The sequence below is a fragment of the Homo sapiens genome, chromosome X, assembly GCF_000001405.40.
Source record: "Homo sapiens chromosome X, GRCh38.p14 Primary Assembly".
NCBI lineage: Eukaryota > Metazoa > Chordata > Mammalia > Primates > Hominidae > Homo > Homo sapiens.
Window position 1 is genome coordinate 72,772,611 of NC_000023.11, and position 13,035 is coordinate 72,785,645.

The following is a 13,035-nucleotide window of genomic DNA, read 5'->3' on the forward strand; positions in this document are numbered from 1 at the left end:
TATGAGTATTTCCCTGATTGTTGGTGGGATCAAAGAATTTTTTTTTTTTTTTCGATTCCCCTGCCTCAGCCCCCTGAGTGGCTGGGATTACAGGCGCGCACCACCACGCCTGACTAATTTTTGTATTTTCAGTCAAGGCAGGGTTTCACCCTGTTGGCCAGGCTGGTCTCGAACTCCTGACCCCAAGAGATCTGCCCTCCTCAGCCTCCCAAAGTGCTGGGATTACAGTTGTGAGCCACTGTGCCCGGCCTGAAGATTTTGTTTTTTTTTTTTTTATTATTATACTATAAGTTCTGGGGTACATGTGCACAACATGCAGGTTTGTTGGCCATCTGAATTTCTGACTCTGGGGAGTAGGTCCATAAGTTTTGCCCGTTTTCTACCTTTTCTTTACTTTTTTAGAGCGGGCCAGTGTGAGCAGTGTGTGGGGCGGTAAAGGGAGGCAGGGCATAGGCCTATGCTGCTGCAGAGAGAAGCAGAGAGAGAGCATGAGGAGAAGGAAGCTTGAATGCGTCACTCAGCCTGAGTATGCCTAGCAAGCACACTGCTCTCAGCTTGGGTCATCCTCTGGTGGCCCCTCTTCAAAAGTGTAAAGCATTTTGGCCTTGGCTTTTCCCCTTTCCTTGGCCTGCAGAGGCCCTCTCAGGTCTGTCTGTGGACAGAGTAGTGGATTGGATAGCTTTTTGAGGAGGTTGGGTGACTTTGTCGTGGGGAGAACAGAGAACAGTTGTGAACAAATACTACAGTGGGGAGCGTTCCAGGGAACAGAGCTCTCCTTCACCTCACAGGCTAAAACCCTCCACATGGCCAGCAGTTGGGTTCAGCGGGCAATGTAGAGAGGATTCTATAGTACTTACAGTATCTTAATGAGAGTCTGCAGCCAAAGACTCACCAAGGACAGTTTTAAAGAAATCTGTATGATTCCCACTACTGTGTGTTGCAATGATTTCTTTTTTCTTTTCTTTCTTTCTTTCTTTTTTTTTTTTTGAGACAGAATCTCTCTCTGTCACCAGGCTGGAGTGTGCAGCGGCACGATCTCAGCTCACTGCAACCTCTGCCTCCCAGGTTCAAGCGATCCTCCTGCCTCAGCCTCCCGAGTAGCTGGGACTACGGGCACACGCTACCACGCCCAGCTAATTTTTGTATCTTTAGTAGAGACGGGGTTTCACCACGTTGGCCAGGATGGTCTTGATCTCCTGAACTCGTGATCCGCGTGCCTCGGCCTCCCAAAGTGCTGGGATTACAGGCGAGAGCCACTGTGCCCTGCTCATTGCAATGATTTCTAATGCATATCTCTTGTTTGTGTTGTCTGCATTTTTCCAGGCTTCTTTAAATATAAAAAGCCCTTATGGAAGCAAAACCATGTGAATAATTTGATCGATAATGACAAGACGTTTGATGAAATTTAAAGTACATTTGCAAACAAGAAGAAGAAGAGGAAGAAGATGAAGGAGGAGGAGGAGGAGTCGGCGGCGAAGGTGAAGAAGAAAAGAAAGCCTGCTAGAAAGTTTGGTTTAGAGGGAAACATCTCCAGGTTGATAAGTGGTATGTGAGTCGGGGCCCAACCAGGAGACGGAAACCGTGCAGGTTATTTGGACAGAGCACAGTGAGTAGAAAACATGGCTAAGTGGTAGAAGGGGGTTACCTCCTAAAAGGCACAAAAGAGAACTTTAAGGGGTCCAGGAGTAGCAGTTGCAAAAGAGCAGCTACTACCTCTAGGATGAGGAATAGCAGGCAATAAAGGAGTAGGAGAGTTCACCGTTCCTCCCGAGCTGAGAATCAGACCTCTTTGAAGAGGATGTAGCTGCCAAAAGAACTTGCAGCCTGCCAGTGGTGTCGAAACTTACCAGAGAGTGTGGGCCTTTGCTGGTCTGTAGAAGAGACCACCAAGGCAGGAAGGTGGTGGGTGGTGGTGGTGCATGGGAAGGCTGGAGCTGCTCAGAGGCAACTGATAGTGGGGAAATCATGGTCTGGAGGTGCAGCTGGAGCTTGTCTGCACTGGTCTCTGACCTCCTTCAGTGAATATCATCAAACGGGAGACTGCTACTAGCAGGAGGGACGAATTTTCCTGCTGGGATTCGTAGGGTCACCCCCAGTGCTCTCTATGGCCAGAGCCTAACATTCTGTTAGCTGGCATAGGAGAAAGACTCACAAGGATCATCTCTAGTGTGACAAAGCAGGGCAAAGAAGGAGTAACTTGGACCTGACAGACAACACGTTGATAAATGTCACAATCGGTATCCAAAACCAACAACATATTTAGCCCCAAATGAACGGAGTCCTTCCCGTTAAGAGTGGGAACAAGGACAACAAAAAAGTTTCACATCACCGCTATTAGCTAACAGGGTACCACGGTCCTAGTCAATGTAATAAGAAAAGGGAAAATGAATACTGTATTAATAATATGCAGAGACTGTGATTGCCTACCTAGAAAACGCGCGAGAATCCACTGAAAAAGCATTCTAATTAAGGAGAGGGGATATTAAGATGGCCGTATGCCCCAAAGTATACAAAACCAGTAGGCTTCCTATATGTCAGAAATAAGTAATTAGAAGACATAATGGGAAATACACAATTCATAGCAGCAATGAAACTAAAAAGACTGCCATGGACAAACTTAAGAATTATGCAAAAGCTATATAAAGCAAACTAAAAGGTGATTGAAGTACCCTGATTAAAGAGCAGAATCAATGGAAGAACATGAAGAACATGCTATATTTTGTGGCTGAGGACCCTCCATCTTCTCATGTTAATGAGATGTTAATTATTCTCATAGTAAACTATAAGTCCTAAGAAATTCTAGTTAAAATTCAAGCCAGGGAATTTTTTTTAACTTGAAAACTTTGATTTTGAAGTTCTTACAGATGACGACATTTTCCAAAATATTTTGAAGAAATTTTGTAAAAGAAGAATAGTGAGGGGGGAGTTAGTTCTACTCACACAAAAACAATTTCTAAATCTTTATAGCAGAATTAGCAACAACAGAATTTAGATCAATGGAAGAAATTTGAAGTGCAAGCGTGGACATTATATGGAAATTTAGTACGTGTTATTTCGAGGTATAACAATTGCTGTATAAAAGTCGACCGTAATCCCAGCACTTTGGGAGGCCGATGAGGGCGGGCCTGAGGTCAGGAGTTCAAGACCAGCGTGGCCAACATGGCAAAACCCCGTCTCTACTAAAAGTACAAATATTAGCCGGGCGTGGTGGCGGGCGCCTGTAATCCCAGCTACTCAGGAGGCTGAGGCAGGAGAAGCTTGAACCCAGGAGGCGGAGGTTGCAGTGAGCCAAGATCGCACCACTGCACTCCAGCCTGGGTGACAAGAGCGAGACTCCGTCTCAATAGCAGCAATAACAACAACAACAACGACGACGACGACGACGTCGACCGTTTTGTTATGTGTGAGGAGGCTATACTGGTTACTGTCTAGAAAGGTTAGGATGAAAGAAAGGAATGCTAAGTTGTACCACGATACAATAAGAGAATGCACTTGCTAGGGTGGAGGAGTCTTCTTGCTATTTATTTGCAGGCTTCCTAGGGGCTGACCTCAAAGCAGGAGTCGATTTAAGGTCCCCGAATCGCAGATGAGAGGTGAAATGGGAGAGAGCGCTCTGTAGAGAAAGGATGAGGCGCAGTGACATGAGAGTAAGAGAGGCAAGAAGAGGATGTCATTATGGGAATGGTGGTTTGCAAAGTTAGATTACAATTAACAATAACTTTCCAGACTGTGTAGGAGAGAAAGAATACGCAAGAGAACTGATGTTGTGCACCCCAGATCCACTGATCATAAAGAAAAGGAAACACATCTTCAGTTCTCCATGGAGGTCACTTGTTTCCCGGGTCCTTCCTCCACATCTAGATGACCACACAGGGTGCAAGCAATGTAGATGCGATGTACACTATAATAATGAAACGAACGCAAAGGAAAACTCACTAAGTGCTTACTCTAGGCCAGGCACTGAGCAAAGCAACTTCAGGTAGATGATCTGAAGAGGAAGCTGCAGAGGCAGCCGCTGGACAGAAATGCCTACGCTCTTAGGAGCCTTCTCCACAGGAGAGAAGGAGGGATACGAAGATAATCCAGAATGATCGGATTCATCACAACAACAGGTAACAGTTATTAAGCGCTTACACTGGGCCTGGCTTTTAGGCTTATGGTCTCTTTCAAGCCTCACATGAGCAGCCCCACCTCTGGGAGCAGCGCCCCCGCATCCCTCAGGCTGTAGCCTGCGGTACTGTTTTCTGCCAGAAGAGGCACTGCGGGGCGGCGCCCGCCCATTCCCACAGCTCCGGGAAGACCCGGGCGGCGGAGGCTTAGCCCCCTCCCCTCCCGCTTCTTCCTCCTCCTCCTCCTCCTCCTCCTCCTCCTCCTCCTCCTCCTCCTCCTCCTGCTCCTCCTCCTCCTGCTCCTCCTCCTCCTCCTCCTCCTCCTCCTCCTTCTCCTCCTCCTCCCGGTCTGAGGGCGGCGGTCTCCGACTCAAGACCCTGGGGCTCCGGGTCTTCTTAGCAGCCGCCGCAGCAGCCGCGGCGACGTCACTGTCCTCTCGGCCTGGCACACAGCGCTCCGGCCGCCGAATGCCCGTGGACGCGCATCTCTTCCCAGAGTTCCTGCTTCCTGGGCCAGCCAAAGCCGCAGGTGAGAACGTCCGCGGTAGAGGTGACACCCAGGGCCTGCGGGTCTCAGAGGCCCGGTGGCCTGCTCCTCTCCTCCTTGCCCAAGAAACCCCCACGGGGGCGCCTGCAGCGGGGACACCAAGTGCTCCCCGGAGCCCTGGGAGCACTTCTTCTGAGGCATGGAGCCCCTGCTCAGGTGCTTCTGAAAGTTCCTTTGTGGACCCCAGAAACCCCTAGGCAACTGTCTGCCCCGCCCCGCGCCCCCGCCGCCCCCCGCCCCCGCAGTACCCCTCCGGCCCCCGACATCCCTGATGCGCATGCCCAGGGGCCCTGTGAGCTAGAAAGTAGCTGAGCTGGTGCAGTACCTGCTGGTTAAGAACCGGAAGACGGTGGCGATCAAAAGGGCAGACATGCTGAAGTATGTCATCAAAAGGTACAGGAGCTTCCTCCCTGAGATTTTCAAGAAAGCCTCTGACCTCCCCGAGTTAGTCTTTGGGTTCTATCTGAAGGAACTTGATCCAGCAGAGCACTCCTATGTCTTGATCAGAAAAATCGATCCTGCCCTGGTTTGGGGCCTGACAGGCGACCAGGGCACACCAAAGACCCGGCTCCTGATGATTACTCTGGACTCGATCTTCATGCAGGCCAGCTGTGTCCCCGAGGAGGTGGTCTGGGAGGTGTTGAGGGTGTTGGAGGCACATTTCGTCTAAAAAGCATTTCGTCTTTGGGGAGTCCATGAAGCTCATCACCAAAGCTAGTGTGCAGCAGGAGTATCTGGTGCACAAATAGGTGTCCCACAGCAATCCCACGCTCTAGGTATTCTTGTGGGGGCTCTCAAAGGAAACAAGACAGATGGAAGTCCCGGAGTTTGTGGCCAAAGTGAATGACACCCACCCCAGTTCCTTTCCGTGGCAGTAAATGAGGCATTGAGAGAAGAGGAGGAGATACCCCGTGCCCGAGATGGCAGCTGCCGTTGGTGACGTGACAAGTGCCAGTGTTAGTGCCAGTTCCAGTTCCAGGGCCTATGCCATGGCTGAAGCAAGCATCAGCACCAGCACCAATGCAAGTGCCAGTTGCCAGTGCCAGGGCTAGAGCCATGGCTGGAGCAAGTATCAGTACCTGGGACAGTGCCAGTGTGGTTGCAATCTCAGGCTAGTGTCAGGGACTCCTCCTGCCAGCAGTGAAGGCTGGGGCTGAGTCTTCACTTTGTTTTGCTGTGGGTAGTCAAAAGGGCCCCACAGCAGTGGGTGCTGGGGTCCTGACTTTTCAAGAGTCGAGGGGTAGAGTGGGGTTAGGGAGAACCTGCCGCCCATGGTATCTGTGTTCCAGTTCTATTTGTCTTTCTCAGTGATTTAGCTTTCAATTTGCATACTGCAAAGTTTTGTTTGCCTTAATTAACTTTCTTTTATAATGATGATCATTTTACAGGAAATAAACTGGTTAAAACTACATGATGACAGAATTATATCAGAGTTGAAACAAACGCCATACCTAAGCATTTTTTTCAAAATCCTTTGTTCCATAGACACTTGATTGAGTACTTAAGTTGAACATCTAGGTCTATGAATGACGTTGGTCAAATGTTTTATTGTTCTCTGTTTCGGTTTTAGCAGGAGAGATTTGCTGTTTCATAAAAGAAATTGGGAGAGTATATCATTTTATGCCTGTAACTTATTATAGCATTGGAATAAGCTGTTCTTTGGAGGTTTGAGAGACTTTACCAGTACAATCATTCCCCCCCTCCCCCAAATATAAAAAGATAAAATAAAAAGCCGGTCAGTGTCTGTTGCACAAAATTACAACCGCTCTCTGCTTGTATTTGCCTAGTTCTCCAGAATGTAGGGAAAAATAAAAATTCAATGAATTAGACACCTTGCTCATCGACTCATTTATTCAACATACATTTACTGACTACCTACTATATGTGAGGCACTGTGCCGGGCGCTGGAGATAGAGGAATGCACCAGACTCAGCCTCTGCCCCACATCTGAGAGTCTAGATGGGGCTGTCATGTAAGTAAATCAGCCAGATGTGGCAGTTTGATGTATTAATTGCCGGGATGAGGATAAGGACCAGGTGGTATGGGAGCCCGGAGGAGAGACACTTAACCCTGGGTGGTGGATGTCTGGGAACAAGGAAGGCTTCCTTGTAGTGAGATGCCATCTGAGATCTGAAGCACTGAAGGAGTAGTAAGTGCAGTGTGTCCCCGAGGCAGGGTATTGTGGGCATCGGGAGCATTCCATGTTCTTCAGTGGAACTGGAAGGTTAGAATTTGGGGAGACTGGGGAGAGATGATCTGGGGGTGGGGACCTGTACAGGAGCCAGGATCCTCAGTTGGTGGACTTCACAGCTGAGAGATTAAAAAATAATAGTAATAAAGTAAACGTGTAGTGGAAAGTGACTCTTTGGAAAGCAGCTGCTCTTGGCTCTTGGATGAGCCAGAGAAAAGACTCCACCTGTGGCATGCCTAGAAGCTGTCCTGGCCTCCTGTCCCTGTGCAGTTTCTACAGTGCACACAGCAGGTGCTTTACATTCAGCATCCGTAAGGAGTGATGGGCAAGGGGGTAAGTGTTGCACTCACCGGAGCTGATTCCCAGAAGCTACTGAGCAGATGTTCGCCCCTGAAGCCTGGGAGAGACAGAGCTCAGTGGGTTATATGACTACGGTTAGTTGTTGTTGTTGTTTTAAGAAACAAAGGCCTAGATGTTAGAATGGATAAGTTATCCTGTTTATACAGAGGGAAAACTGTTTGTAGGGGTGAGAGATAAGTCTAGACTAGCCTGGAGCGAAGCCAGGAAGAGCCTTGATGGCTCAAACCTGATTTGGCTGGCCCAGGAAGCTATGGAGGTTTCCTGAGCAGGGAAGGATCTGATGAAGGCCAAACCCTACCAAAATTACAGTGGCCAGCACCAGCGTGGTTTTCAAAGGACCAGTATTCTCCATGCCTTAGAATGGTCCTGGTGGGTATAGTGATCATAATAACTAGCCTAAAATTATCTTCAGTTCTTAGAGATTGACATGCATGTTTTACATCCCTGCCCGTTGGCCTTGCAAAGCCTTTTTGTGCCCTTCGTCACAAACACTGTGGGATCCTGGCACCAGTTCTCTCAGGGCCTACCCTAGGATATGTAGGATCCAGAGAATATTACACTGTAACCCCTCACTTGCATTCCTCTGCTGGCGTCAAGGAAAGGCTGGAGGTGGTGGTGGTGGTGGGGTGGTGCAGTGGGGGTGGGGGTATCATAATGTGAAAACATGCAATCTGAGGTGAATGGGGAAAGGGTTTTGGAAGGGCTCTGTCTTAGTTTGGGGTGGGGATAGTTGGAGCTGATTATGTGTACCTCAATCTGAGGCCTTTCCTCAAAATCCCGAGCCGCCTGCTCTCCATTTGAAGCCAATAAACATTGTCAGTTATGAAGGGTATATGCATTTGGGCAGGGAGAGATGATATTTTTTCTGCATTGTTACACTGAATTGCCCTCCTCAAGGCCATAGCAAGATACCTGTGGAAAAAGCATTGTCTATAGGTCACAGTCCTAACAGGTACTTAGGAAGAAGCAATGCTGTCCCATGACTATAACCACATACATGAGTCCAGATACGTATGTATGTCTTAAGCTCCTCTCCATCTCCAACAGCCAACCCTATCCCGATTAAATATCTTTCTCAAGAGGTGTAAAAAGATATTGACCCATAAAACCACCAAACACTTCCAGATTTATGTCAGTCTTAATGAGAGAGAAGCAAGAGAATGTGCCAGCAGGGAGGATGGGTCAGCCTCCTGTGGGAGTGGGTCCTCGAGAGTGTTGCTGTCCCCTGGGCATGCTGAGACACTAGAGCTGCCCAGCCTGCAAAGCTGAGGACCCCACTCTGGGAGCACCCGTGGGACTCAGCTCCTCATTCAGAAAGTGAACAGATCAATGTAATTTGACGTGGGCCTCTGTGAGGTCCTCCCACCCATTACTGTGTGTCTGAAAGGCCCGCCGTCTCTCCATTGACCTTGGTGATTGCTTGTGTTGCAATTTCTAACAGGTTAAAGGAACAAGTATGCTCCAACCCCCTTTGTAGAATTCTCCTGCTGATACTGTGTTGCAGCACATATCAAGGTCACCTCAGGAAGGCAAAAGAAAGAAAAAATGAAGCCCTCCTCTTATGAAAACGAGCAACGCGTAGGTGGAGACGAGGTCGTCTGTTGGAAGGGCTCTCTCTCTTGCGGTGGGGTAGGGGGGCCTGGGAGCTCTTTGTCAGTTTAGGGGTTAATGCCTTTTCTGAGATCCACAGATTCTTCCTCCACATGACCCTCCCGCCTCTGCATATAAACACTGCCCAGTTTTCCTCCGATATGAAGACCGTGCGCATTGCTGGGGGAAGAGAGATGTTATTCCGTCGTCATTCCTGCATGTAAGTGCCTCACCAGGGTCCGAGCTGCCAGCTGTGGAAAACTCACCATTGATTGGCCACAGCCCATCGCCACCAGGACCCAGGAACAAGCAGCGCTGCCTCGAGGAGGAGGGCGGACAGCCTAACAGGGCTCAGGAAGATGCTAGCTCTCTCCCTCCACAACCCCACCACCACCAAAGCTGACCACTCCCACTTCACCCGACGTGTTGAAAGTTACATCAAATGCCACAAAGCAAAAACAGTCAAGCGTGCCAGCATTTATTTCAGGCCTGGTGACTGGGACACTGCGGCGAGCAGGGGCATGGAGCAGCAGAAGGGGCTTGGTCACCGTTCATGGCTCTGTGTCTGTGGCTCCGGTGGTCTCAGATTCCGAGTGCCCGGTATCCTCCCCTAGGGAGGAAAGCAGAGTGACAAGTGGACCCTCGGGAGCCCTGGGGATTTCTGGCTTGGCCTGAGGTTCTCTTGGTGGAACAGGAAGGGGAGGCGGATGGGCTTGGTGGCGAGCAGTGAGAGAGGCAGAGGCGTGCTCCGAAGGAGCTCTCACCTGAAACACTTGGTGAAACATGCCAGGGCTCTCTGGAACCGGCTCCTCCAAGACCCTCGCAGAAGAGCAGGTTCCCTGGGCAAGCCTGTGCCACCGGATGGGTCCTCCGTGGCGTCAGACACAGCCACCCATTCCTCAGGGTCGTTTTGCAGCCCTTTCACATTCTGAAAGACAGACTAAATAGCCAGATCCTAATGCTCCCTCCCATCCCTGGCTTCCTTCACCCCACCCAGCAACTATTGTGTGTGTCTCTGGCCCTCTTGCAGGGGCTGGGGATGCAGCAGTGACCTGCACAGACCAAAGCCCAACCTCCTAGGGGACATTCCAGGACAATGGAGGGAAGCCAGACTCACCAGGTCAGCAGGTGGAAGGAAGGGAGTGAAGATCATGCTTCCAGGAGTGTGTGATGTGCCGGTAGGGACCGACAGGACTTCGTTGAAGACACCGGCGAAGCTCGTCACTCTGCCGGGTGCAAAGAGGCCGAGGGCCTGCCCCCTCCACGCCCCATTCAGCCCCTCTGCCCCTGCCCCATCGTCCCTCCCTCCTACAGCCTTGTGCTCCAGCAGGGGATACATTTCTGGTATGTCACATTCCGTCTGTTCCTGTGTTTCTTACTCCCACTCCTCCAATCTTTCTTTCCTTTGTTTCTTCCTCCTGGCCCTCCCAGCAGGCTCGAGTCACGCTTCTGCTTGCTGAGCAGAACAGCCCCGAGGGTCCTCCTCGAGAGAACATGATGTGTAGAGGTCTTCTACAGGTAGCTCATTTTATTTGGCCATGAATGGTTCATTGCATGCCAAGGTCACACATGGTCCTAGTTTGCCATGAGTGGGACCATTCCGGTTTTAAAACTTAAAGGCCCCTGTCCCGGGAAAGCTCTCAGTCCCAGGGAAACTGGAACTACTTCATTCATGTGGACACTATTGTCACATTACTGTGCACTGTTTTTCTCACATTTAACAGTTGGACCTTGTAGATGAAATTGTAAGAGTGATCCTGATACCTAAGAAGTAGACATTTATGAGTAATCGATGTGTATTGAAGGCTCTGTATATCTTCATAGTGTGGAGGTAAATGCAGCATTATGTGTTTGCCCCTGAATACATATCCACTAAAAGCCTATGATTGGACCTCAGCCATCACATCTGCTCTTGGGGTGTCACACCAGAGTTCTAGATGGACCCAGAATTGCAGAGAGACAAGGTCAGGGGAAGGAGCCGGGAAAGAGGTTAACAAGACCACAGATGCTGCAGATGGGACTCACACGAAGATGTCCTTCCCACCAGCCAGGCCATCGCTGGCTTTGTAAGGTAATGAGATTAGCAACATTAGAGGTGCTGAAACACAGCCTGAGTGGTCACTTGTACCGTATGCTGCAGAGAGGAGGGTTCAAATGGTTTCAGACAGCCCTGTGATTCATAGGATTCGTGTGCAAATCAGAGGTAAAGAGCCCTTAGCTTTCATGTAAATACGTAATTCCCTCTGACGTGTACAAAAATTCTCCTCAAAATCTTGTGAATTTCCAGGCAAGTGTTGTGAAATACTTAGAAACTCCTCCAAGAAGTGAGCAGGTCTCATTGTCTGTCCTATCTCCCTTTTCTCTCCTTGAATCTACTCCAGTTAGGCTTTCTCCTACACCACTCCACTGAAACTTAGGAGTTAATTGAACATGAACCAATGAACAAGTGAAAGTAATGTTTCTTATAGTTGTATATGACTAGCTATGTGATTAAAATGACCAAACCGGCAAGTTGTATTTAAATGCTTAATAAAAGCTAGGTTTAAATTGTTAACTTAAAAAATGAATAGAAATGAAGACCCAAGTAACTACACTGTCATCTCCCAGCACAACTTTCATTCTCATATAAAGAAACTCATTTTCTAAGTAGGAAGGTTGTTCCAAACTGCTGGAAATTCCCAGGAAGAAAGGCCCAGGTTTTATGGAGCTTCCACCTGTTTCCTTGTAGACGCAGCCAACTGCCACCAGGTGGCAGAACAAGATGAGAAAACCGTGCCCCACGGAGTCCCTGAGCCCCTGCTGCTGCAGTTTTTGAGTGAGTTTTCTCAGGGGCTGGAATCACTCCTGGGGAACCATCCCAAGGTTCTGCCCTCTTAAGCTATTCCAGGGTGCACCCAGGGCCTGGTCCAGGGTTTCTGACGTCTATGATGACGCTTAAGGCAGTGACATCGATCAGCCGGGCCTCTGGGCTAGGAGACCCAGTTCACCTCCTCATTAGTAACCCTGGGATGTGGTAGTAGGTGGCTTTAGGCAGGATGAGGGGCCAGTTGTATCTGTCAGTATGTCAGGGTAGTGACATCTGTGATTCTGCAGGGACATTTGAACAGCAGGGAATCAGAAACGCCAGAAAGTGAGGGTCCGCAACACAAAACCTTGCCAACTGCTGTGGACTGAATTGCGTTCCCCCGCCCTGCAATTAATATATTGAAGCCCCGACCCCTAATGGGACTGTATCTGGAGCTAGAGGCTTTAGGAGGCAATTAAGGTTAAATGAGGTCATAAGGGTGGAGCCCTGCTCCTACAGGATTAGTGTCCTTATGAGAAGAGACGCCACAGAGCTCATTGTATCTGTCAGTATCTCGAGGTAGTGACAACTGTGCTTCTGCAGGGACATTTGGGTAGCAGGGAGGTCTCTTCTTCTCTGCACTGCATGCACCCAGGAAAGGCCATGTGACGTCTTAGCAAGAAGGAGGCAAACCATGAGGAGAGCCTTCAGCAGAAACCAAATCGGCCAGCACCTTGATCTTGGACTTCCCAGCTGGCAGAACTGTGAGAAAATAAATGTCTGTTGTTTAAGTCACCCAGCCTGTGGTATTTTGTTATGGCAGCCCGAGCGGACTAATACACCAACCTAGCGGTTTTTCAAAGAAAGGAGTCCCGGGCTGGCCCAGGAGGCCAGGCTGCTCAGTCCCCGAAGCCTGATGGCAGGTGAGGTGGACAACCCTGTTGTCCCGCCCAGTAACATTTCCTTTTTTTTTTCTGAATCTCCTTTGAGAAAATAAGCTGCCTCTGTGCAACTGCCTTGAATGGACCCAGAGTTCTGCAAAGAGTCAGGGAAGGGCTGTGAGTGATGGTGATAAGACCCGCCCCGCACCACCCTGTGGATGGATGGGATTTATATCGAGAAAGGCTACGAGGTCAGCCCCTCGTAGCTTTATACCATGTCTCCCTCAGCTGAGATTAAACAAGTGTGTAGGGATTCAAGAAAAAGTTGATTTTTTAATTTGGAGTGGTTGTTACAGGGAGTAGGGGTCAACTGGATTTTGCCAGCCCTGAGATTGAACTGGATAAATTACAGGTAAATTATATGTGTGAAAGCACTGGGTACATGAGAGGATCTCAATACAATTTCGTTGACTTGCACGCAAGTTTCGCAGAAGCTCCTGCAAGAGGCGAAGTGATTCTTATTATGACAAATAATAACAGTTTCTTTTTATTAAAGACCTAGTAAGTACAGG

General features: G+C 49.2%; 2 protein-coding genes and 1 long non-coding RNA gene across 6 annotated transcripts in view; 2 read left to right on the forward strand and 1 right to left on the reverse strand.

Moving 5' to 3' along the window:
- Positions 1–4,279: 4,279 nt before the first annotated feature.
- The window catches only part of DMRTC1B (DMRT like family C1B), a 71,914-nt gene continuing 63,158 nt past the window's right edge, over positions 4,280–13,035 (forward strand). For all 3 annotated transcript variants that reach the window (NR_170369.1, NR_170368.1, NM_001386972.1), the window contains exon 1: positions 4,280–4,638. The gene's annotated coding sequence lies outside the window, so the exon portion shown is untranslated. The remainder of the gene's footprint in view (positions 4,639–13,035) is intronic.
- On the forward strand, positions 4,463–6,485 carry FAM226B (family with sequence similarity 226 member B). The gene has a single exon (NR_026594.1). It is a non-coding gene; the product is annotated as a family with sequence similarity 226 member B (long non-coding RNA).
- On the reverse strand, positions 9,255–10,050 carry FAM236B (family with sequence similarity 236 member B). 2 transcript variants are annotated; one of them, NM_001348073.1, is made up of 3 exons: positions 9,915–10,050; positions 9,562–9,725; positions 9,255–9,407 (listed from the first exon to the last, which is right to left on the reverse strand). In NM_001348073.1, the coding sequence occupies exons 1-3, from the start codon at positions 9,948–9,950 to the stop codon at positions 9,380–9,382; spliced, it is 228 nt and encodes a 75-aa protein (NP_001335002.1). In that variant the 5' UTR covers positions 9,951–10,050; the 3' UTR covers positions 9,255–9,379. The 2 variants fall into 2 exon arrangements, with proteins under 2 accessions (NP_001335002.1, NP_001335001.1); NM_001348072.1 differs by having other exon boundaries at positions 9,562–9,737.

Excerpts from the sequence above, each read along its gene's own strand:
- FAM236B (NM_001348072.1), bottom strand. The coding sequence starts at position 9,950 with ATGATCTTCACTCCCTTCCTTCCACCTGCTGACCTG. Across the intron at positions 9,738-9,914 it reads TCCTTCCACCTGCTGACCTG|TCTGTCTTTCAGAATGTGAA; the intron begins GTGAGTCTGGCT and ends CTGGCTATTTAG. Across the intron at positions 9,408-9,561 it reads TGTTTCACCAAGTGTTTCAG|GGGAGGATACCGGGCACTCG; the intron begins GTGAGAGCTCCT and ends TTTCCTCCCTAG.